Source organism: Homo sapiens, chromosome 9 (assembly GCF_000001405.40).
Source record: "Homo sapiens chromosome 9, GRCh38.p14 Primary Assembly".
Taxonomy (NCBI): Eukaryota; Metazoa; Chordata; class Mammalia; order Primates; family Hominidae; genus Homo; species Homo sapiens.
Window position 1 is genome coordinate 115,369,183 of NC_000009.12, and position 24,222 is coordinate 115,393,404.

Genomic DNA, 24,222 nt, shown 5'->3' on the forward strand with positions numbered 1-24,222 from the left:
TCTTTAATACAGTTTCTGCCATGTTTCCCTGACACTCACACAGAGAAAACAAATCTACAACAGTTATGTCTCCACTTCGTAAACCTTCCATTCTCCATCACCACTTCCAAATAAAGAATAACGGTTGTTACAGGAATATGTCATTACTTGCCCATTTCGAATTGCCAACCAGGGACTCCCATTTCCAACATGTTTATGTAAAAGATTAGGAGACTCTTTGCTCTAATTGGTCATTTTTCCACTGAGTAATAGAGTTGCATCATTGTTGAATTGGCTCAGCCTGACACAGGCAGACACACTGATATATGTATGCTTTAATCTGTTAGGACCAATGAGGAAAGAAAACCGTTATTTACTTTTTGTCCTGACCTCACCATTTAGCCATGGCTCTTTGAGAGCATACTTCATTTACTGAACAAACTGCTCAGTAGCATCAATAACTTGTTTTAGATTCTTTTAAAGAGGACTTCATATGGCATTCAATCCTTGATTCCCCAATAAAACAACACAGCTGTTCCCTTGCAGCTCGTCTCTCAGCAGGAGCTGCAAAATCATATTTAATCAACTTTGCTTTAAAAGCCATCCAGTTTCCTTTAGGGCTTTGGCGAACTTCCCTGGCCAGGATGGCCCCTGCTGACATGTCAGCAGCTACAGCTTTTCCAAGCCCTGGCGGAGGGAGTTGCCATTTGCTGAGCACTTTCTCATGTGCCAGTCCCTCTATTGGGCACTTTAAATTCAAGGTTTTATTTAATCCACATGGCAGTCTCATGAGATGGGGATTGATCTCTGATTTTAAGATAAGGAAACTGAGGCTTAGAAGTGTAAAAACATTTTTCCCAAATCAAAGAGCAACAAGTGAAAGAATTGGGATTCAGCCAAGTTCTCTCTAATTCCAAAATCTGTGCATTTTCTACTTTTCAGTTTGGCTTTCTACATAAAGAGGTACCAAGGAATTATACAGGGGTGAGTGAGACACAATTTAGTCAGTATGTCAAATTTGGCAACAGAGTCCCATTGCTATAGCTCCTAAGTCTTTTTAAGACTTACAGCTTTTTCTTACCATGATGAAATTTGCTATTAGAATATAAATAATCTTGATGGCATCTTGTATTCAATAAAGATTAACAATTATTATGTACAATTTACTCTTCAAAGTGAGGTGAAGGGATGCAGAGATCAAATAGGTATATATCTTGCTCTCAAGAAGCTCTAAGTCTAGAAATAGAGATACAACAGCAACATCAAACATGCTAATGAAAAATAGAAAGTGATAAGTGTTATGAGTGGGTTAAATTATGATGGAAATTTGAAAAAGGAGAAGTCTATTCTAGCTAAGGCATAAGTCTTATCCAAAACTTTGAATGTAAAGACTATAAGTATTTTCCATAAGGCTTTATGGAAGATTGCAATAGTCAGGATGATTAACACTAGCTCCTGTGACACCCCCAAAGTATCAGTGGCTTTAACACAACAAGAATTTCTTCTTCACTCTTTGTTGGGGTGAGGCAGTGCTCTCATCTATGATGTCACTCAGGATATAGGCTTCTTGTATCATGTGGCTCTACCCTTTGAGAGTCCTATGTTTCTAGCCACCTGGTTAGAGAAGAGAGAGAGAGAGAGAGAGACAGAGAGGGAGGGAATGGAGGATCAAGTGGAAAGTAGAGGAGCCAGGCCTGGAAGTGGTTTACTTCATTTCATTTACATCTCAGTGGACAGACAAGTCACATGGCCCCAACACAACTGAAAGAAGGATGGGAAATGTCTTCTTCCTGTAGGCCCAGGGAGAAAACAGAGCTTAATTGAGCACATAGCATTGTTTCTGCCACAAGGAATATGAACATAGGTGTTGCAGAATCATTTAATTTAAGAAGTTGAGGGACATGCAGGATGAAGGTAGTGTAGAGGGTATTCATGGAACACTTTGATTCAAAAGAGATTGGTTTGGGGTCGGGCATGGTGGCTCACGCCTGTAATCCCAGCACTTTGGGAGGCTGAGGCTGGTGGATCACCTTAGGTCAGGAGTTAGAGGCCAGCCTGGCCAACATGGCAAAACCCCATCTCTACTAAAAATACAAAAATTAGCTGGGCATGGTGATGTGTGCCTGTAATCCCAGCTACTTGGGAGGCTGAGGCAGGAGAATCACTTGAACCCGGGAGGCAGAGGTTGCAGTGAGCCCTGATTGTGCCACTGCACTCCAGCCTCGGCGACACACCGAGACTCTGTCTCAAACAAAACATAAACAAACAAGAAACAAAAGAGATTGGTTTGGAAAGATAGTTGATACCAGATCTGGAAAGGCCTTTAGTGACAAGCATTTTCCAAAATGTATTTTTCAGAATGTTAGTGAGTAAAATATGAAGAATGATTTGAGTAGTCAAGTAGATTTTGGAAAAACTGCGTTATCAAATTTTAATTGCCTCGGTTCCACAGGATTTCGATTTTTAGAGGGAGGCACGATGTATCAATTATAATAAACCTTTTCGATCACAGAATCTCTTTTTGGTAGACTATCTTGTAAGACTAATATTTTGTGACATGGAATCTTAGGCAATGAGGAACCATTAAGCAAGAAAGACAAATGATTAGACTTACTTTTAGAAGTACAAGCCAGAGATGAGTTCCAACCCACATCCCAGATTTGACCAATTAATAATGGCTGGCATTAGTGCTATCATGAAAGAAATTATGAAACTTCATCTGAACTTATCTAGGAAAAGGTAGTGATTGATTAATAATGTCTGCTGTAGAGTAAAGGATATAGAGGTGTGTCTTAGTTAGTTTGGACTTCTATAACAAAGTACCATAGATGGGTGGCTTAAAGAACCCACACTTATTTATCATATATCTTCCAGCCTCCTATCTGGAGGCTGGAAGTCTAAGATGAAGATCCTTGCAGGTTTGCATCTGGCAAAAACCTGCTTCCTGGTTCATAGATGGCCATCTTCTCTCTCTGTATGCTCACATAGTGGAGAACAGAGAGAGGAAAAGCAAGCTCTCTCATCTCTTTTTTTTTTTTTAAAGGCACTAACCTTGTTCAAGGGGATTCCACCCTTATGACCTAATTACCTCCCATAGGTCTCACCTCTTAATGCCACCATATTGGGGATGAGAATTTCAACATATGAATTTGGGGGGAAGGCAAACCTTCCACAGCAGGGTGTGATGGTTAATTTTGTGTATCAATTTAGCTAAACTATGGTGCCCAGTTGTTTGGTGAAACAGTAGTTTAGATGTTGCTGTGAAAGTATTTTGTAGACACGATGAACATTTACAATCAGTTGACTTAAAATAAACGATATTATTCTTGACAATGTGTCTCATCCAATCAGTTGAAGGCCTGAAAAATAAAACTGAAGTTTTTCAGAGAGGAAATTCTGCCTCAAGAGTAACGAGGAAATCCTACTTGAGTTTTCAGTCTGCTGACCTGCTCTGCTCTGTAGATTTTGAATTTCTAGCTTACTGGCTTGCCATCCAAATTTTAGACTTATCAGTCCCTACAATCATGTAAGAAAATTCCTTAAAGATAAGTGTGTGTGTGTGTGTGTGTGTGTGTGTGTGTGTGTGTGTATGTGTGTGTGTGTGAGTGTGAGTGTAGGTTCGGTCTCTGGAGAACCCTGACTGATACAAGGGGTGACAACAGCATGATGGCATTTGATTTTGTTGCTTTAGGTGAAGGTTGCAAGTTGGGTTACAAAGAGAGCTTGGGTGCCTGAAAGTGGTGTCAACACCAAAATGGAAAAGATTTCAGGAGAAGAAAGTTCAGATTTGGAACTTTGTCCTTTAGATGTCACCTGGACAAACAAATAGACATCCTTCAGAAGAACGTTCATTCAGAGCTAAGCAGAAGTCAGCATTATTTCCAGTGTGCAAAGATATTTTGAAGAGAATGTATATCTCCTTTAGGATCCTTCAACAGATACGCCACCTGTTTGCCTGCAGCAGTTTCCTGAGGCTGCAATTTGGAACAAATGCCTCTAGTGACAGGGAACAAAAAGAGTTGCTTTGTCCTGAAAGGAGGTTAAGAGTCATTTGAGGCTGACTATTCAAGACACACCTGAATGGGGTGTGAATTAAGAGAAAGGAGGGCCAGGTGTGGTGGCTCACTCCTGTAATACCAGCACTTTGGGAGGCCTAGATGGGAGGATTGCTTAAGCCTAGGAGTTTGAGACAAGCCTGGGCAATATGGTGAGACCCCATCTCTAAAAATAAAAGAAAAAGGAAAGAAAATAAAACAGAAAGGAGGAAAACGGTTATAGAAAAAGGAGAGGAACATCACTAAGCGAAAAGCTGAATGGAGGTGAGTCACTGGGCATGACTAAGCCATGACTAAGACCTCCAGGGTGATAGATGAAGGTCTCACCACCAGGAGAGTGGAGTAATTATTAATGCATGTTTGCCTGGTGAGTTATTTAGTTACAAAAGCCACAGCAGAGGCTCTTCATTGTAACAGCTCAACAATCATATATAGAGTTCCCGCAATGCAGACACTCACTAAACACTGGGGTCACACGGGGGAAAGACACAAGTCCAGCCTCATTTTGAATCAGTCTTTTTGTGTGTTTTAGTAGCTTCCCAAACATAACTTTGTCTTATCACTCATAGATGTAATGAGGTAGCTTGATTCTATTTATTCAACAAAGACTTATTGATTTCCTACAACAAACCATGCACTGTTCTTGCTATGGGGAATATAGTAGTGAAGAAAATTGGCTAAACTTACTCCTTGCCTTCATGGAGCTGACATTCTCATGTGGGTGACAGGAAATACCATGATAAATAAGTAAACTACACAGTAGGATCTGTGGTGATATGTTAGAGAAAAAAAATAAAGCAGCTTTATCAATCAAGAGAGGTTAGGCAGCCAACATGCAATAATTAACAAACTGGAATCTCAGTGACTTTTCCACTCGCCTAATTTTCATCGTGGGCCAGAAGGGGCCTCTGCTCCCACAACTTCACTGTCTTCCTTGCTCTAGGACTCTGACTATAGAGCAACGAATATCTGTGCTATTATAGGGGAAAAAATAAAAAGAGATTTCTGCTGGGTCTCACCTTGGGGAAGCAATGCTCAGCCTGAAATTGATGCACATTATTTCCACACATCATTCATTGGAATGAACTGATTAGTTGGATTGACCTAAAATATGGAAGCAGGAAGTACAGTTCTATCATGTGTTCAGACTGGGGGAAATCCTGTAAATATGGCAAACAAAAATAGGGTCATTTAGGTCACAGTGAGGACTTTGGCTTCTCCCATGAGTAAAATGGGAAGCCATTGGAGACTGTGAACAGTCGAGTGAGTGCAGAATGAGACAGACTTTTGTTGAGATCTTGGCTCTGTGACCCAGAACATGTGATCTATAAATTGGGGCAACAAAACCTACCTTATTAGATTGGTAGTAAGATTCACTGAGATATTTGTGTAATGCCTGGCATAAAATAAATTTTGGCAAAATGACAATGATATATTGAATTTCCTATAAACCTATTTGTTTCATCAAATGAGGATGAATTTCCCCCAAAGCAAAAACCATGTCTAATTCATCATTGAATTCTCAATTCCTAATACAAGATTGGACCCACTTCATTCCCCTAATATGTGTACTTCATTCTCCACAGGATGGCTGAGAGGAGGGAAAAGATGCAGAGAGCATCTGTGTATCCTTGCTGCTAAGAATTCACCTTTTTTAAAAAAGGGAGCTGTCACCTTGAATAAAAAAGGCTGAAGCAGCAATTCATAAGCCACAGTTAATGATCAAACTCATGGCAAGTCAGCTTTAGAATCCAGTGGAGGCATGTTCTCTGTGGCCTTATGGCTTGGGGGACTGTTTGGAATATGGTTAGCTGTCACCTTATATTTCTGATATAAGCTATGACATGCCTGTAGCTGACACATTTGTCCGCAGACTCTTTGTTCAAAGAGAAAGGTATACCACAGTTGTGCTAGTAATGGTTGCAATGCCTAGGGATAGAATTACGAAGAACTTGAAAAATCTTGCTCTTAGCATGTGTCACCATAATGAATAGATCGACGGTACAAGGTCAAACTTAATGCACAATGGGAAAGGTGGAAATTTTTTTTATTATCTTTCTTTATATGTGTCTCCTTTCACTGCATAGCTTTTTCTCCACACTCCTTTCATATTGATCTGGCAATAATGCTAACTTTGGTGCATTCAAGAGGCCCCTTTCCCCACCTTCATTTTGTCTTTTCTCTAACAGCACTTGTTTTTCATATTCTTGAACACATTCAGCTAGTGGCTGTGAATTTGGAGAGATAAGCATATAATAACTATGATGATCATACTTCTTAGTTTGCCCAGAACAGTCATGGCTTTTGCCCAATGTCTAGGTGTAAATATTAATGATAATACCTTTTATTCTCAAATTTTTCTCAGTTAGAAAAATATATGGTCCTATTTATTATAGAAATTTATCCTTTTCTGAAGGGCCACACAATGCCAGAAACTATTATGCCTTTCCACCAGCGTGATCCTAGAGTTAACTCAAAGTTTCACGTGTTGTTAGAAATATGAGGGGTTTCAAAGTCAACCAAAATAGCTGGAAGGGAAGGACATTGTCATAGTCCATCCAGGGAGTTAGCAGCCCACTCTGCTGCCAATCTCAACCAGAATTTGACCTCCCCATCAAGTTCTGCTGTCACATTATCCTCCTCTAGGAGAGGAAAGATGGTGGTGACAAAGCACTCAACTTTGGTCTCGATGGACCTGGGTTTAAACTTTGGGTCAATTAATCTATGACAGTTACTGTATTAGTCTGTTCTCACACTGCTATAAAGAACTGCTTGAGACTGGGTAATTTAGAAAGGAAAGAGGTTTAATTGACTGGTAGTACAGCATGGCTGCAGAGGCCTCAGGAAACTTAGAAATCATGGTAGAAGGCAAAGGGGAAGCAAGGCACCTTCTTCACAAGGTGGCAGAAGGGAGAATGAATGCAGGAGGAACTACCAAACATTTATAAAACCATCAGATCTTGGAAGAACTCACTCATTATTACAAGAACAGCGTGGGGGAAACTGCCCCCAAGATCCAATTACTTCTACCTGATTTGTCCCTTGACATGTGGGGATTATGGGGATTATAATTCAAGATGAGATTTGGGTGGGGACACAAAGTCAACCACATCAGTTACCTCTTAATTTAAAATTTTTAGCAGGAATACTAACATATGATTCACCCAGATTGTTATAAAATTTAATCACATAATGTCATATAATGTGAAAAAAATTATATAATGTAAAAATTGTTTAACATAGTTTATTGACACTATTGAGTGACAGCTTTTATTAGTATTATTAATAAAATAAAAATTGAATTTTCATATTACTGCAATTACCACAGGGTCTGAAACCTAGTAGTTACTATACACTTTTTATTTTGAATCTTGATATATACATACAGCAGACATTGTTTTTCAAAACAATTTCTTTCTCATTAGTACAGAAGGAACTTTGGATGTGGGAGAGAAAGACAAGGAGAAACCTGAAAGCAGCCCAGTTATGACAATGAATGGTAAGATATTCTCCTGACCTGAGATCTGCTTTTACGGAGTAAATAAATGAATGTTACATGAGCCCAGTGCAAAACAAGCAGGGTGTGATTATGCAGGCAGTCTTGGAGAAGTTAGCACCATTGTCAGCTCTGAGGGATCATAGGAGTAGAACAGCTACCACTGAAAGTAAAAAGGAATCTGAATCCAGTTGTTGACAATGACAAGTCAAGTTTTAAAAAACCTGAGTAGAATCTGCTGCTATTTTAATAATGGTTGGATACACTGAGCAGAGCCTCTGACAGAGGTAGGATGTGTTAAGCCCTGGGGTTCCCTGCACAGTGTTGCAGCAGAGTAGTGGTCCCTCAGCTGTGAGCTAGGTTAAGACCTGAGACTGAAATGGATACATTTAACTCATGCCCACCCCAATCCCAGGCAAAGCTTTTCAAGTCTTGATTGGTCCTGCCTCTCTGAGGGTTTTTTTTTTTTCCACTTTAAGTATATTTTTGAGGTTCAGAGCCGTAAGAACATATCATGGAATTTGCCCACAAGTGATAAAGTATCATCTCAAATTTGGGCTTAACTTGTGTTGGGGACTCATATTTGCCTTAGGGAGTTAAAATTTTTACTATGTAAGATAGGGAGAGAGATATCAAATTATGGTGTATAGAACATCTGCTTTAAAATCATTTGGAAAACTTTAAAATGCTGACTTCTGTACCTTATCTTTGACCTACTGAATCAGACTATTTGAGAAATGAATATGAAGGTTGATTAGCTCACAGAGTTTTACTATCCTCATGATTATTGAGAAACCATTAGGCTAGTGGCTCTATGAATAGGTTAGCATAATAAAAGAGAATTATCTTCATCAAGATCCAATAATGGTAGTTGCTACCATCTTTATCTGACCATTGAGAAAACTGATGTAGGAGGAGTTGCAATCTGCCAAAGACCCAAAAGGATATAGTTACAAAAGAAGGAGATTATTTGTTTTTGTTTTTTTGTTTTTTTTGAGACAGAGTCTCGCGCTGTCGCCCAGGCTGGAGTGCAGTGGCACGATCTCGGCTCACTGCAAGCTCCGCCTCCCGGGGTCAGGCCATTCTCCTGCCTCAGCCTCCCTAGTAGCTGGGACTACAGGCGCCTGCCACCACGCCCAACTAATTTTTTTGTATTTTTAGTCGAGACGGGGTTTCACTATGTTAGCCAGGATGGTCTCGATCTCCTGACCTCGTGATCCACCCACCTCGGCCTCCCAAAGTGCTGGGATTACAGGCGTGAGCCACCACGCCCTGCCAAAAGAAGGAGATTATTTGTCTTTGCCATGTTCTAATGGAAGTAGAGGTAAGATGCTTACTCAGATTCTTTTCTCCCTGAATCAGTGGGGGACATTTCCATGGACCAAGGAAGAGGGATGATTTAGGCCAAAACCCTAATTTTGATTATTTGATGATAATTTATATTAAAAATATGAAAAAATAGTAACCAAGCACAAAATAATTATAGTACCTTGAATGAGTCCTGGTAGCCTCTGCTGTCTCTGATGATGTCAAGAAAGTCAGGGGCATTTTCCAGGGGCAACAGTAACTATTGCCTTAAGTTTGTATTTTTTATTCATGTTAATGGAATTGGAAAAAGCTTAGATTTTCGGGAAATAGTAACTCACAAGTTACCAAGCAGATGGCAATTTCCTCTCTGCCTCTTGCCTAAAAACACACTTTGGATGCGTCATAAGCAAAGCCCAGGCCCAGTTAAAGCTCTGTTATTCAGTCCGGAAGCAGTTGCTTCTGTATTTATCATGGTGCTCAGGGTATAGATATAGATCTTAGACATTTTTAGTGAGATAGTTTGAGGAGCCTGTAGAGGCAGAGAAATCAGTATGAAATCTGGGAGAAAAAAAGGGCATTCATTTTTGAAACAGGTATAATTTATAGGAATGGACACTTCAATCCTTTTCTTTAGAACACAGTTTTCATCTGACCAGTTTGCTTCTTGCATTGCCCAGAAAGCAATCGATCATCTACTCCTTTTTTTCAATGTGATCAATAGAGAAGAGTGTGCTGACTTAGAGAAGAGATTCTCAAACTTCAATGCACCCACAAATCACCTATCTTGTTAAAATGCAGATCATGCTTCATCAGGCCTGAGAATCTGCATTTCTAACCAGCTGTCATGGCTGCTGGTCTGTGGACCACACTGCAAGACCAGGACTTAGAGCATGGTCAGTTGCCCAAGTTCACTTGAGACCATGAGAACATTACTGAGCTTCTGAGCCTTCATTTCCTCATTTTAAACATTTGCATATAATACAGATAATGAAAGTGCCTAACATATAGGACTATTTTAAGTACAGAATATAGTCCACATAAAGTGCTAAAATAATTAATTGTCACATCATATTCTATCAGTAAATGTTTGCTATCATTATTAGGCATTTGCTATGTGCCTTCTATATGCTAGGGTTCTAGGAAAAGAATTAGAAGATGTGCTTTTTGTTTCTTAAATCTAACAACCTAGAAGCGGTCAGTAAAATAGGTTACATATAGGCACATAAATCTACCATGAGTTAGCAGATAGATGGGTACACGCTTCAATGGCAGGAATACTGGTCATGGAGTAAGGAAGCTGGTTTCCCTATTCCCTTGTCGTAAGGAATTTTGTGAAAACCTCTTTCATTTTCTGGATTGTTGTCTCATCCTTTATAACAGAGGAATTTTACCCAGCTGCATAGTTCTGATGGCAGTGTCTGCTGCCATCATGCCTGCTGCAGCAGGAGCAAGTGGGAGCCCTGCCCCTTCTGAATTGGGATGGGAGATTCCCGTGCCACTGTAGCTGCCCAAACTGCAGCTGCAGACTCAGGCCTCCCTGCTCTAGGGAGCAGGCAGGAGCCCCACTCTCCTGGGTGGGGCTACAGCCACCCAAACTGCAAATGTGGATCTGGCCACCCTCCCAAGCACAGGATCGGAGTGTCTCTGCAGCCTGCACCCTCAGGTGCACCAGGAAGGATTCCCCCTCCATCCCTACAGGCTCAGGGGTGTCTGCTCCCACTGCCCAGCCTCTCTCTGCTCCTGACACCTCCAATGTCAGAGCAGGGTTGGAGCCAAGCCCAGGGGCCATGAATGGCAGCAGGAGGCAGACAGAGTCCTAGGCGGAAGTGGGTGGAGTCCCCAGTAAGGTCCCATTCTCAGGCCAGGGAGGGCCCAAAGGCTGGGGGCTGGGCTGCCAGTTTCTCCAACCAGAGTGGCAACTCATAGTGCCTCTTCTGGCCCACCCATGGCCGCCCATGGACCCATTCACATGTACTTCCCCTCTCTGAGGTCCATAAAAGCCCTGGCCTCAGCTGGGTGCAGTGGCTCGCACTTGTAACCCCAGCACTTTGGGAGGCCAAGCCAGGTGGATCAGCTGAGGTCAGGACTTTGAGATCAGCCTGGCCAACATGGTGAAACTCCGTCTCTACTAAAAATACAAAAATTAGCTGCACATGGTGGTGGGCACCTGTAATCTCAGCTACTCTGGAGGCGGAGGCAGGAGAATCGCTTGATTCTCTGTGTGGGGGTTCTGATCCCACATTTCCCTTCTGCACTGCCCTAGCAGAAGTTCTCCATGAGAGTCCTGCCACTGCAACAAACTTCTGCCTGGGCATCCAGGCATTTCCATACATCTTTTGAAATCTAAGCAGAGGTTCCCAAACCTTACTTCTTGACTTCTGTGCACTGGCAGGCTCAACACCACATGGAAGCTACCAAGACTTGAGGTTTACACCCTCTGAAGCCACAGCCTGAGCTGTACATTGGCCTCTTTCAGCCATGGCTAGAGTGGCTGGGACACAGGGCACCAAATCTCTAGGCTGCACACAGCACGCAGACCCTGGTCCCAACCCAAGAAACCACTCTTTCCTCCTGGACCTCTGGGCCTGTGATGGGAGGGGCTGCCATGAAGGTCTCTGACATGGCCAGGAGACATTTTCCCCCATGGTCTTGGGGATTAACATTAGGCTCCTTGCTACTTATGCAAATTTCTAAAGCTTGCTTGAATTTCTTCTCAAAAAATGGGTTTTCCTTTTCTACTGCATCATCAGGCTGCAATTACTCCAAACACTTATGCTCTGTTTCCCTTTTAAGAGAATGCTTTTAACAGTACACAACTTACTTCTTGAATGCTTTTCTGCTTAGACATTTCTTTTCTGCCAGATACCCTAAATCATCTCTCTCAATTTCAAAGTTCCACAGATCTCTAGGACAGGGGCAAAATGCTGCCAGTCTCTTTGCTAACATATAACAAGAGTCACCTTTGCCCCAGTTTCCAACAAGTTCCTCATCTCCATCTGAGACCACCTCAGCCTAGACCTTATTGTTCATATCACTATCAGAATTTCTGTCAAAGCCATTCAGCAAATCTCTAGGAGGTTCAAACTTTCATACATTTTTCTGTCTTCTGTGAGCCCTCCAAATTGTTCCAATCTCTGGCTGTTACCCAGTTCCAAAGTTGCTTTCACATTTTTGGGTATCTTTTCAGCAGTGCTCCTCTCTACTGATACCAACTTACTGTATTAGCCAGTTTTCATGCTGCTGATAAAGACACACCTAAGACTGGGAAGAAAAAGAGGTTTAATTGGACTTATAGTTCCACATGTCTGGGGAGGCCTCAGGATCATGGAGGGAGGCAAAAGGCACTTCTTACATGGTGACGGCAAGAGAAAAATGAGAAAAAAGCAAAAGTGGAAACCCCTGATAAACCCATTAGATTTTGTGAGATTTATTCACTATTATGAGAACAGCATAGAAAAGACCAGCCCCCATGATTCAATTACCTCCCCCTGTGTCCTTCCCACAACATGTGGGAATTCTGGGAGATACAATTCAAGTTGAGATTTGAATGGGGACACAGCCAAACCATATCAGGGATCTTCGCAAATTATCAGATGACCCTGATAGGTATATAGAGGCCTTCCAGAACTTAACCCAAGTATTAATATGTGAACTCTCCTGGAAGGATGTAGTGTTACTTTGGAATCAAACCCTGGCCAACGCTGAAAAGCAGGCCATTCTCAGCAAGTGGCAAATAATTTTGAGGAATGAGCTTTATATCTTGTATAGCACGAGGGAAGGGGAGGAACTTTATCCAGTTGGAAGAATAGCAGTACCATTGGAGTACCCTAAATGGGACCCCAATGATGAAATGGGAGAGTTGAAGAGGAAACACTTTAAAATGTGTGTATATTAGAGGGCTTTGTAAGGGACTGAGACTAGACCTCTCAATCTCACTGGGCTACCTGTGGTAGACCAGGGATTTGACAGGAGTCCCACTGCCTTCCTGGAAAGGCTAAGAGGGGTCTTGGCAAAACACACCCTTCTCTCCCCTCATTCAATAGAGGGATAGCTGGTCCTAGGGGATGAGTTTGTTACTCAGGCAGCCTCTGGTATCAGGAGGAAGCTGCAGAAACAGGACATAGGACCAGTAGTACTTTAGAGGACCTCCTGAAAGTGGCCACCTTGGTCTTTTATAATAGAGATCAGGAGGCCAGAGAGAGGGAAAGGAGACAGAAAAAAAAGCAGAGAGTCTCATAGCCACCTTACAGGCTCAGAAACCCCAGAGTTCCTAAGATGTACTTGTTGACTTCTGCAAATGTAAACCACTGGAGGTCAGACTGTTCCTGAGACACAGGTAACCAGGTCCAGGGCTGGTCTTTCAAATGGTACAGCAAGGCTTATGGGTCCCAGGGTTCTTTTCCCTGGCTTTGGTGATTCAGACTGCCATTATCATCCAGGAGCCTTGGGTGATTATGGGTATCAAGGGAAAGAGGATGGATCTCCTGGACTCAAGTGCGCCTTTCATTCTCTCCAACCTAGGTCCCCCTCTCTTAGCATGACTGTGAGGAGCTCAGGAGAAGCCAAAACTCTTAGTTGTCACCTCTTTACGTCAGGACCCCAATTCCTGGGACTGCTATTCCTGGGACTTCCTTTATCTCCCTTGTTTGAGGAGGACCTGGCCCCACAGCTTTGCCTGCTTGTGATAGGGAGGCAACAGAGGAGTGGGCCCTGCCAGTTGCTAGATGCAATGTGGCAAGGGTCATTTGGGACTAATTTAAAGGGTTCATATACCCTCCTGAGGCACCTTTTATCCCAAACTTTGGTTTGAAGCCCTGTAATGGAACACTAGACCTAAGGCAGATGACAGTGGGAGTTGAGGGTCACAGCACAGGTGAGCATGACTAATTCCTGCCAATTAGGCCCTCCCACTTCACGGATGGAGGTTATGCTCATGGTATAGATAAGGTCTAAGGAACTCACAGATTACCGAGAGTGGGAGGCTTAGGCTCCACTCAGATGAGTGTGAATATTCCTGTCAGCTATGCTTCCCACTTCATGGGTGAAGGTTGCACTTGCACCCATAGTTGGCACCTGCACAAGTCACTGGGACTCAGGGATATAAGGTCAGGAGAAGAAAGAGGGATGCCTTTTCTTCTCTTCATCATGTAACCTGGGTGGTTGCTGGGATGGTGAAAGGAACAAAGGGATGCCTTTTTCCCCTCTTTCCAGATGGGTAACCAACCAATCATTTTCAACCTGCCCTCCTCAAGTGCATCCTAAATCACTGGACAGGACTTCAGAGCTCATGGCTCAGGGAAAGGAAACCCAGAAGCCTGAAATGCTGGCAAAAGTGGAAAGGTTCTTGCCATTCAGACTGTGGCTTCTCTCTTTCTGTGCAAACTAGTTGCAGGAATGATATAAATCACTTCTTTACTTAATTTATGAGCACCGTTTTACTTATAAGCCATTTTGGTTGACACAATATACATCAATAAACACAACTAGACATATATACCCACACACAAACTAAGATCCAATAGCTTGGAACCCTGGCCATGAGATAGCAACATGAGCTCACTGGTTTTACTTTGTTTGTCCCAATAGGTAATCCAATGAAGGCTGTAAACCAAAATTTCAGGTAAAACAGTTTCCATATCAATTTGATTTAAAGGTCAAATCTCCCCAGAATTCGAAGAACACTGAGGCCAAACAGCACCAAAGGAGAGTATCACACATTAAGTAAAGAAGTCCTTCAGAATTGTTAGGATACATTTTTGTCTGGATTATGTTTGTCTACTATAACATCTAATGGAGACTCCTGAAAATAGATTTACATACAAGATGTAAGGAAAGTAAAATGTGTCTTTAGTAAAAGAATATGAGAAAGCATGGGAATGTAAATTTTTGCCTAGTTCAGAGGGTTCAAAGATTGTTTTAAATGAGATAAGAGAAAACTAAAGGTTCAAACAAGTTATGGAAGGTTTGTAAAAATTTTGTAAAATAAGTGTGTAAATATATTGACTAAATTCAAAAGGGTATTTGGTTTTTCCATAAATTGAACATTGGAATAAATGCACAACAAGGTTTTCTTGAGGATTTGTCTGTAAGGTTTTATTTTTTAAAAATTGGGGTGAAATTTGGCTTTCTCTTGAACACGACTTTTGTACAATGAAATGTTTTTGTTTGCAAACTATCAACAAAAGAAGGGAAGGACAAAAGACAGATTATTTGGAAAACTAGGTCTTCTGTCTTAATGAGTAAACATTTTTGCTTTTTAAAATAAATTTGAGTCATCATTGTAGCTAAACGGATGACTTATGGCAATCTGAAATTCTATTAAGTGTTTGAGTCTTTACAGCTTCAAAATTGCCTTTCCTAACTCCCAACTTTTGGAAGCTACAGAGGGACCCTGGAGTGTCCAAAGTAGAGGTAAACAGGATTATTTGACATGTTTAGTTATATAGGATTATTGAAATAAGGTGGTGCTTGATCTTCAGGTTATATTTTAGTGAAAAATGTTAATATGTGTTCCAAAATAGTATGAGATTTCTGGAGTACTGATGTCTGAGTCTGTGTTATTAATCATAATTAGGGTCATTGTGTTAGGTTATCGTAAATCACAGAGGTGACCAAATTTCTTTGTCAATTATGTTTTTGACTGTAACTAACCTAGGACATTTTAACATTCATAGACAATTGTTGTCTTGTTTTGATCCTCTTCAAAGAATGGATTATAACCCTCAAGTGCAGGTTTCTTATAACTTTGAAGATTGTGAACAGGAGTTGAGTAGGTAAACTGAACTATTGGAAGACCAATCTTTTTTGACTTTTTGCTTTTTTCTTGGAACAGTGCTGATCCTTATGTCCTGTTTTTCAGAATCAAGGGTTTTTTTGAGCTATTTGTGGCTTTAAACAATTGTAGGGTGAACCAACCAGTGATCTCTGACCACAGCTCAGAAGAAACAAAAGGGATGGGCCATCAAACTCCAAATGGTCACAAAGATGGAGCCCTGGATGATGGCTCCCTTGTACTGGGGACCTTTAGATAGGACCCACCGAGAGAGAGACTTGACTGTAGGTTTCCCAGAACAATGCTCCTTGTCAGCATGAAGCAGTTAAGAGCTGTCATCGTCTCCATCCTAACAGCAGTTAGGTGTACCTCTTCAGAGGGGGGATGGATGGCATTGGCTGCCGCCATCATGCCAGCTGCAGCAGGGAAGTGCAGCTGGGGCTGCACACTCCATGGAGCAATTGGGAGACCCTTCTGAGTTGGGATGGGAGCTCCCTGTGCCACTGCAGCTGCCCAAACCACAGCTGCAGACCCAGGCCTCCTGCTCTACGGAGCTCTGCCCAGGAGGGTGGAGCAGAGCTCCGCTGCCTAAACTGCAGCTGTGGATCCAAGCCTCCCTGTGCTCTTGGGGGAGCTGGGAATAGGCAAGATCTGCCCTCTCAGGTACAGCTGCAGCCGCGGCATAAGCGGCTGCAGACCTGGGCTTTTGGCTCCGGGAAGCAGGCAGGAACTAGGGACAAGCGGGAGCCTTGCTCCTTTTGAGTTGGGGGCGGAGGTGTGGTGGGGTGGTGGGAGATCCTGGGCGCAGCTGCGGCCACCCTCCTAGGCACAGGACCCAGGTGTCTCTGCAGCCTGCACCCTCGCACGCCTCTTGAAGGAGCCCTCCCCCACCCCCATCCTTGCAGGCTCAGGGGTGTCTGCTCCCGCTGCCTAACCTCTTTCTGCTCTTGGCACTTGATACAATCTTGGAGCCGGGTTAGAGCCAACCTCTGGGGCCATGAATGGCAGTAGGAGGCAGACAGAGTCGTGGGTGGAAGGGGGTGGGGTCCCCAGTAAGGCGCCACCCTCAGGCCAGAGCGGGCCTGAAGGTGGGGGGCTGGGCTGCCAGTTTCTCCTGCCTGAGTGGGGACTAGTGGTGCCTCTTCCAGGCCCGCCCATGACTGCCCATGGACCAATCAGCAGGCACTTCCTCCCCTCTGAGGTCCATAAAAGGCCTGGGCTCGGTCAGAGCAGGGTAGGGGACTGCCAGAGGAGGAAGAGAGCGGAGGTTTGAGAGATGAGGAGATGACCAGCTGCAGAGAGGAGCACCCTCTCTGCTGATAGCTGGAGAAGATGGGATGAGAGACCTGCAAAGATATTCCAATGACTTGCCTGTGGAGAGGAACCACCCTCTTCAGAGCCTCCTCTCTGTTCAGAGCTGACGACCTGCCTACAGAGAGGAGCTACCCACTCTTCTGAGCTGTTCTAACACTAAATAAAACTTTTTTTCTTCACCTTTCAGTTGTCTGTGTACCTCATTCTTCCTAGATGCAGGATAAAAACTTGGGCAAAGGTGCCACAGCCACAGAGCTTTCCAGCCAGAAAAATGGACACCCCAGAGATCCCGTAACTGTTCCATTCCCCAAGTCATGACTTATTAGCTTTGATGACCTTAGTCAAGTTTCTTGAACTCCCAGGCTTTATTGTCCTGATTTACAAAGTTGAGATAATAAGATGACAGTTGCGAGGATTAAACATCTTAGCAGAAAACATTTGGATTATCATCTTGCTTCTTTAAGCACTCAATAAATGCAATCATCATTGTCCTCCTCCTCCTCCTCCTTTACTAGTCCTTTTTCCTTACTATTTTTTACAAACTCTGTGACCTTAGTCACCTCACATTAGCCACGACTCATCGCTTTCTAAAATGTTCAACTATTAATATATATTGGAGCTATTTTTACTTTTTTTTTTGAGTGGTTTCTGAAACAATCAAAAGATTAAACCAGAAGTCAACAAACTGTTTTCTGTACTAGACCAAATAGTAAACATTTTAGGCTTTACTATAGACAATATAGTACAATACACAAATGGGCATGGCTGTATTCCAATCAAATCTTATTTACAAAATAAAATAAAATAAAATAAAATAAAATAAAATAAAATAAAATAAAATAAAATAAAATAAAATAAAATAAAATAAAGGTAGGTCGACAGGACTTAGTTTGCTCACCCCTCCTTTAAAGTAAAGAAGCTGTAAATGTTCTGTGATTTATAAGGAAGTAAGTTTCACCCAACACAAACCTGTGATCCATGAAATGCAACATAATATTGTAGGAAAGTCAGTGGCTCTGTGTTCTCCAGTAGTCCTGCCTTCACCTTAAGAACCCCATAGCCTTAGAACCAGTCTTACCTTGGAGAAGGATCAAATCTCTCTTTTTTAACAGCTATATTAAACTGTGGCCCAGATAGGGGAATTTATTTATTCAAAGTCAGCAGCTCCAGGGATAGAGCCAGCACCAGAATCTTGATCTCCTGGCTCCAAATCAGGGACTACGTATTTTCTCTTTAGCTTGAAAAGAGAAAGAAATCATTTTCCTCAGGAAAAAAATAACTTATTTCCACTAGAGTTTTAATATAGAAATATGTTTTTTAAACCTTCTTGTTAATGGTTATGCCACAGTCAGACATGAAAACACTGCTATATCTGCTTAATGGGAATACCAGTCCCCTGTCCTTGTCACTTGGATCTCATATTAAAGATCTCCTTTCATTTCTATTGAGACAGAAAAACACCCTCTCCTTCTACTCACATCTAGTCAGATTCCAGAATCATTTCTTTGGCAGTAAATCAGTAGTGAATGAAAAGGCTACTCACATCTATCCATATCCTATTCCCAAAGAAGAAATGGGAACAGAAAGCCCTGGAATGAATACAAGCTTCCTTCTGCTAGGATCTGAATGGAAATACTTCTCTCCTTTTAATATGCCATCTGTGTAGATTTTCATGGAGTTCCTTTTCTTATTTTCCTATCCTGGCCTTGCTGAACTCTGATAGGATAATAATAATAACAACAATAATAACAGTTATGATTTAATGAGAATGTACTGTTTACCAGCATTATGCCAAATATCTTAGTCATGTGTGAGAATATTCTGAATCCCATTTTATGGATGAAGAAATTAGGCACAAGGAGGGTAAGTCAGACATGCAAAAAGAGGATTATGACTTCAGAGCAGATGATTTAACCCTGCTTAGATTCTTCCTGCAAATAGCAAAGAGGTAAACCATTTTGATATAAACTTAACGATGTGTACCTATACAATTCCATTTATATGAAATGTCCAGAGAAGGTAAATGGTCAGAGATAAAAAGTAGATTAGTTTTTGCCTGAAGCTGGGAGTGGGAATGGGGAGTGACTGCAAGGGCCATGAAGGATATTCCTGGAGTGATGGGAAAGTTTTAAAATTGGGTTAATATTATTATTATTCTGAGACAGAATCTCACTCTGTTGCCCAGGCTAGAGTGCAGTGGCATGATCACAACTCACTGCAGCCTCCATCTGCTGGGCTCAGGTGATTCTCCCACCTCAGCCTCCTCAGAGCTGGGACTATAGGCATGCATCACCATGCCCAGCTAAGTTTTTGTAGAGATGGGGTTTCACCATATTTCCCAGGCTGGTCTCGAACTCCTGGGCTCAAGCAACCTGCCCACCTTGGCCTCCCAAAAGAATAATTGTGTGATTATAGACATGAGTCACTACACCTGGCTTTAAAATGGATTATAATAAGGCTGGGTGTGGTGGCTCACGCCTGTAATCCCAGCACTTTGGGAGGCCGAGGTGGGTGGATCATGAGGTCAGGAGATCAAGACCATCCTGGCTAACATGGTGAAACCCTATCTCTACTAAAAATACAAAAAAAAAAAAAAAAAAAAAATTAGCTGGGTGTGGTGGCAGGCACCTGTAATCCCATCTACTCGGGAGGCTGAGGCAGGAGAATGGCATGAACCTGGGAGGCAGAGCGTGCAGTGAGCCGAGATTGCACCACTGCACTCCAGCCTGGGCAACAGAGCGAGACTCCATCTCAAAAAAAAAAAAAAAAAAATTGGATTATAATAATGGTTGCACAACTCCACAAATTTGCTAAAGATCATTGATTTTTCTTTTTGCACATGAGATGAATGAAACTTATGGTATGTAAATTAAGCCTCAACAAAGCTCTTAAAAGATTAAACACATGGAACAGAAATTGTGAAGGCTTTTCTTAGTCTTCATGGCTGCTCCTCTTGTGTGGGCATCTTCATTTCTCTTTACAGCCACAATCAGATTTGACCATAGAAAGGTCCCTTCTCTCCCAGGATTGTTAACTACCAATTCTTTGATGATAGAATATGGACAGATGAGGATTAACTGCTTCCTCAATGCTAATTTATTGCCAAAGCAAGAATCCTGGAATTTGAGTGGGTGCAAATAGAGGAAGAGGGTGCTTCTTCACTTTAATAGAAATGAGACTTTTATTACAAATGGCATATGATAAGAACAAGGGACTGTTTTTCCCATTAAACAAACACAAGCATATTTTAATATATCTTAAAAAGGTCTCTATTTCAATAAGCGCATTTATGTATTTGTTTATTTACTTGACATGCATTCACCAAATCCTTCTTATGTGCCAGGCACCTTTCCTGACTCTGGGGATAAAACAATGAGCAACCTAGTCATTACCCTTGTCTTCCTAAAGCTTTCAGCCCAGCAGGAAATCTTACCTTCTTCTTTCCATCTTCATGAAAATTCTACCTATTCTCCCAGGCTCTAACTCTATTGGGAGGTAACCCCTCCCATATAATCCACCACATCATTTTTTCTACCTCTCTCTTATGACTCCAGTCATGTCTACATTGCAGTGGAGTTATATTTGTTTACTACTAATTGCCAGAATTATCTCCTCTACAAGTCTATAAAATCCTTCCTAGTAGATGCTGTGATTAATTCACCTGTTTGTCTGCTGAGTACTCATCATAATATTTTACACCTAGGAGATAATCCATAAGCCTCTGTTATATGAATTTGCTAATTTATCCATGAGCCACATATTTTAGATAATTTTCAAGCAACAGGTACTGTTCTGGGCACTAGGAGATTTGGTGGTGAACAGGACTAGCAAGATCCATGTCCTCCAGGATCTTACTTTAGCTTTGAGGAGACAGTCAATGAACAAATGATTAGAAAGACACAGTGAATTTGGATAAATAAAGGATATTATGAAGGAACTAAACAGAGAGTAACTTATTAGGGGTGGACTGCAGGGAACTACTTCAGCAAGGATAGTCACAGATGCTCTCTTTGGGGACACAGTATTTGATCTTAGACATGAAAAATGAAAAAGAACCAGCCTTATGAATAGTTAGGTACAATAATAGTCTAGGTAGAGAGAAAAGCAAGTAAAAAGACCCAGAGGCAGGAAAGAATTTGGTGTTTTTTTTAAGGAAAACAGGAAATCAGGCCAGTGTTGCTAAAGCCTAGTGAGAGAGAAAAAGAAAAGGAATAGGAAGATAGGAAGAATCAAATCATGAAAGGCCTTGCAGGCCACAGGAAGGAGTGCAAATTTCATTCTATGAGCAATGGATGAAGGACCTTTAAGAGCAAAGTGACGTATATGTTATTTGTAGTTTAGTGAAATGATTTTGTATGATTTGTAGCAAACGTATAATATTTTGGGGCTAAAGCAGTGAAATCATGAATAAATACTTTTTTTTTTTTTTTGAGACAGGGTCTCGCTCTGTCACCCAGGCTGGAGTGCAATGGCGTGATCTCGGCTCACTGTGCCCTCCACCTCCCGTGTTCAAGCGATTCTCCTCATGATAAATACTTTGAATGTAAAGTTCCTTAGGCAGGAGTCTGGAGACCTGGGTCTGGATTATAGAGTGATCTCAGTGTTATCAGACATGTACATCAGTTTACTGTTTTCAAACCCAACTCACTGAGCTTTCTAGTATCAAATGTTCTTTGTTAATTTCACGCATCTCCTTGTGGACCACCATGCCCAGCTAATTTTTGTATATTTTGTAGAGATGGGGTTTCACCATATTGCCCAGGCTGGTCTCAAACTCCTGGGCTCAAGCGACCTGCCCGCCTTGGCCTCCCAAGGATCAGATTATGGAAGGCCTTGCAGGCCACAAGAAAGAGTGCAAGGCCTTCCATGATCTGATCCGTATCTACATCTCAAATTATAAACATGTGTTACAATGAAGAATCATCAGAAAGATCACTCAAATAATCAGGGAGGTAACTTGGAGTTCTGGGCATCTCCTGATGTTGTATCATATTTTTGGTGGTGGTGGGGTTTCTGCATCTTACTTCTTTCCTCGGGAATTAGATGCACTTCCTATTACCCAGTCTAACTTTAACTGCAGCTCTCATTATTGCCTTTTATTGGTTCGACTTTGCTGGATTTGGTACTCCGCACACTTCCTCTCATTAAAAGAAATCCATTTCAACCCCAGTTTCCTCATTAGAACCAATATTTTATGTGGGCAGCATCCCATTCTGTGCATCTTAAGATGAAGAAAAGATAGCGAACAGTGGGCTGGGAGCCAAGAGATCTTGTTCTATTCTCCACTGAGCTATAAATCATTGTCTGGCTACTCCCCTTCTCTGTGCCTGGGTTTCCTTATTTGTAATTTAAGAGGGTTGAACTTGATGAGCTTGTATGTGCTTCTCTTGTTTCCTAACTTGTCTCAATTGGTGTTGTGTTTTCCTCTCTGTAGTTTTTAGGGCTCTCAAGGGTTATGGCTTAGTTCATTGCCTAAGCTTTAGCATTTGCAACAACTCATTGCAGCAGTTCTCCAGTTTTGTTCCTTTGCCCACTCCATTCAGCCATCCAGCCAGCGAGTCATGCACTCACTCATTGATGTTGGAAATATCCTTAGAATTCTGCTAGGTATCAGATACTATGTTGAGTAGTAGGGATTCAATAGTGTATATAATATAGTCTCTGCTTTCAAGGACTTCAAAGTCTGGGAGGAGAGAGATAGACATAGCCAACCTTATGCACAGTGTGTAGTGCACTGACTTCCATGGGGGAGAGAAACTCAGGATGTGGAGGAAATTAACACAGGAGGCATCTATGACAAGAAGTAACCCAGCAAAGATTCCCAGATGAGGCAATTCACAGGCCGAATCTTGAAAGTATAGAAGGAGTGAGCTGCGTGAATGAGCAGGGAGAGGTGCTTGAGTAAGAGAGAGCCTATGACAGTGAACCAAAGGTGAGAAATCTGTAAGAAGTCCAGCTTGACTGGATAACTAAATGGAAGCGTTGGGTGGATAGGCACCAAGGCTGGAGATCTAGGCAAAGAACACATCAAACAGGGCCTTATATATCATGCTAAAGAGTTAGAGTGAGTGACTGAATGAACAGCTGAGGAAGAAAAGGAAGCCCCATGATATGTTAAGTACTGCAGCACTCTACACAATGCAGTGTGAAGTGTGTACCACATTGTTTGGCACCTACAAGACATTATAGCATTGTGGTAATGTGCAGATTCTCTGGGCAAACAACTCTGGATCTGAATCCTATCTCTACCACTTACTAGTCATCTGACCTAGAGAAATTTCTTAACCTCACAAGGGATCATCTTTTCTCATTTACATCAGCGTTACTGGAGGGATTAAATGAGATTACATACATAGAGCTCTTACTGCGGGGTTTGCACTTTTGAAAGATTTAATAAATGTTAACTACTATTAAAATAAATGTCACTGTACCCTCCCCCTCTCTTTCCTGCCTTCCTTCTCTCTCTCCCTCCCTTCCTTCTTTTCTTTTTATTTCCTTCCTTCTTTCTGTCCTTCCTTCTTTCTGTTCATAGACTCCTAGCTTAATAGACAAGGACGAGATTAAAAAATCATGCAGCCCAAGTGCTTGCATTTTTCTAATCTGTATAATGATGCCACCTCATTTATTTGGTTCAAACAGTGTCTGGATATTGGTGCATTTAGCCAGGACTGTTCACTGCAAAATAATTCAGCTGTGTATCAGTGAAGATGGAGGTAGATAGTCAAACCCAGTAGAACTGGTGGCTACAGATGTAACACAAATCTTTCTTTATGCCAGTTCTTTCATCAAGACAGAGGACCAAATTCCACCTTTTTCACATGGATGATTTACCTGACACCTAGATGAGAAGATGAAGACAGTAATTAAAGGCATGACTTGCCCAGTCAGGCCTGAGTGTTTATCTTGACCCTGGCCTTTATTAGCTGTATGATGTAGGCAAGTTATTTAACCTTTTGGAACCTTAATTTATTTATGTACAAAATGAAGATTACATGGTCCACTCGCAGCAACCTAGAGGTAGTGCAAGAAAAATGCATGTCAGAGTGTTTGACGCAGAGTAAGTTTTCAGTATATGGTAGATATAATATTCTTACCAGTTTTGTTAGTGTTATTATTAGTGTGTGTACGAGAGTTAGTAGTTGTGTAAATTTATTATTAGTGTTTAAAGTATTTTATTTTACATTAAGTGCCTTTGTTAGTATTCTTATTATTTGTGTCTATATTATTAAGTAACATGGAAGATAAAAATACTCATAGCTAGAGCATATACATAGGCTGTTGTTCCCTTGGTAAGGACC

At 41.7% G+C, this 24,222-nt stretch overlaps 1 long non-coding RNA gene across 1 annotated transcript in view, besides 2 other annotated features; it reads left to right on the forward strand.

The window, feature by feature from the left end:
• Positions 1–24,222, forward strand: part of DELEC1 (deleted in esophageal cancer 1) — a 260,827-nt gene that overhangs the window by 227,365 nt on the left and 9,240 nt on the right. Inside the window, exon 5 of the long non-coding RNA NR_163556.2 lies at positions 7,460–7,533. This is a non-coding gene — a long non-coding RNA (deleted in esophageal cancer 1). The remainder of the gene's footprint in view (positions 1–7,459; positions 7,534–24,222) is intronic.
• Positions 3,712–4,911: an enhancer, noted in NCBI's record as "MED14-independent group 3 enhancer chr9:118135173-118136372 (GRCh37/hg19 assembly coordinates)". NCBI's record gives its function as "activates an origin of replication core promoter dependent on BRD2, BRD4, P300/CBP and CDK7 cofactors, and independent of MED14, by STARR-seq in HCT116 cells {active_cell/tissue: HCT116}" and the evidence as "EXISTENCE:reporter gene assay evidence [ECO:0000049][PMID:35650434]".
• Positions 16,662–17,161: an enhancer, noted in NCBI's record as "H3K4me1 hESC enhancer chr9:118148123-118148622 (GRCh37/hg19 assembly coordinates)". NCBI's record gives its function as "activates a minimal SCP1, AML or CMV promoter by ChIP-STARR-seq in naive H9 embryonic stem cells {active_cell/tissue: H9 hESC(naive)}" and the evidence as "EXISTENCE:reporter gene assay evidence [ECO:0000049][PMID:30033119]".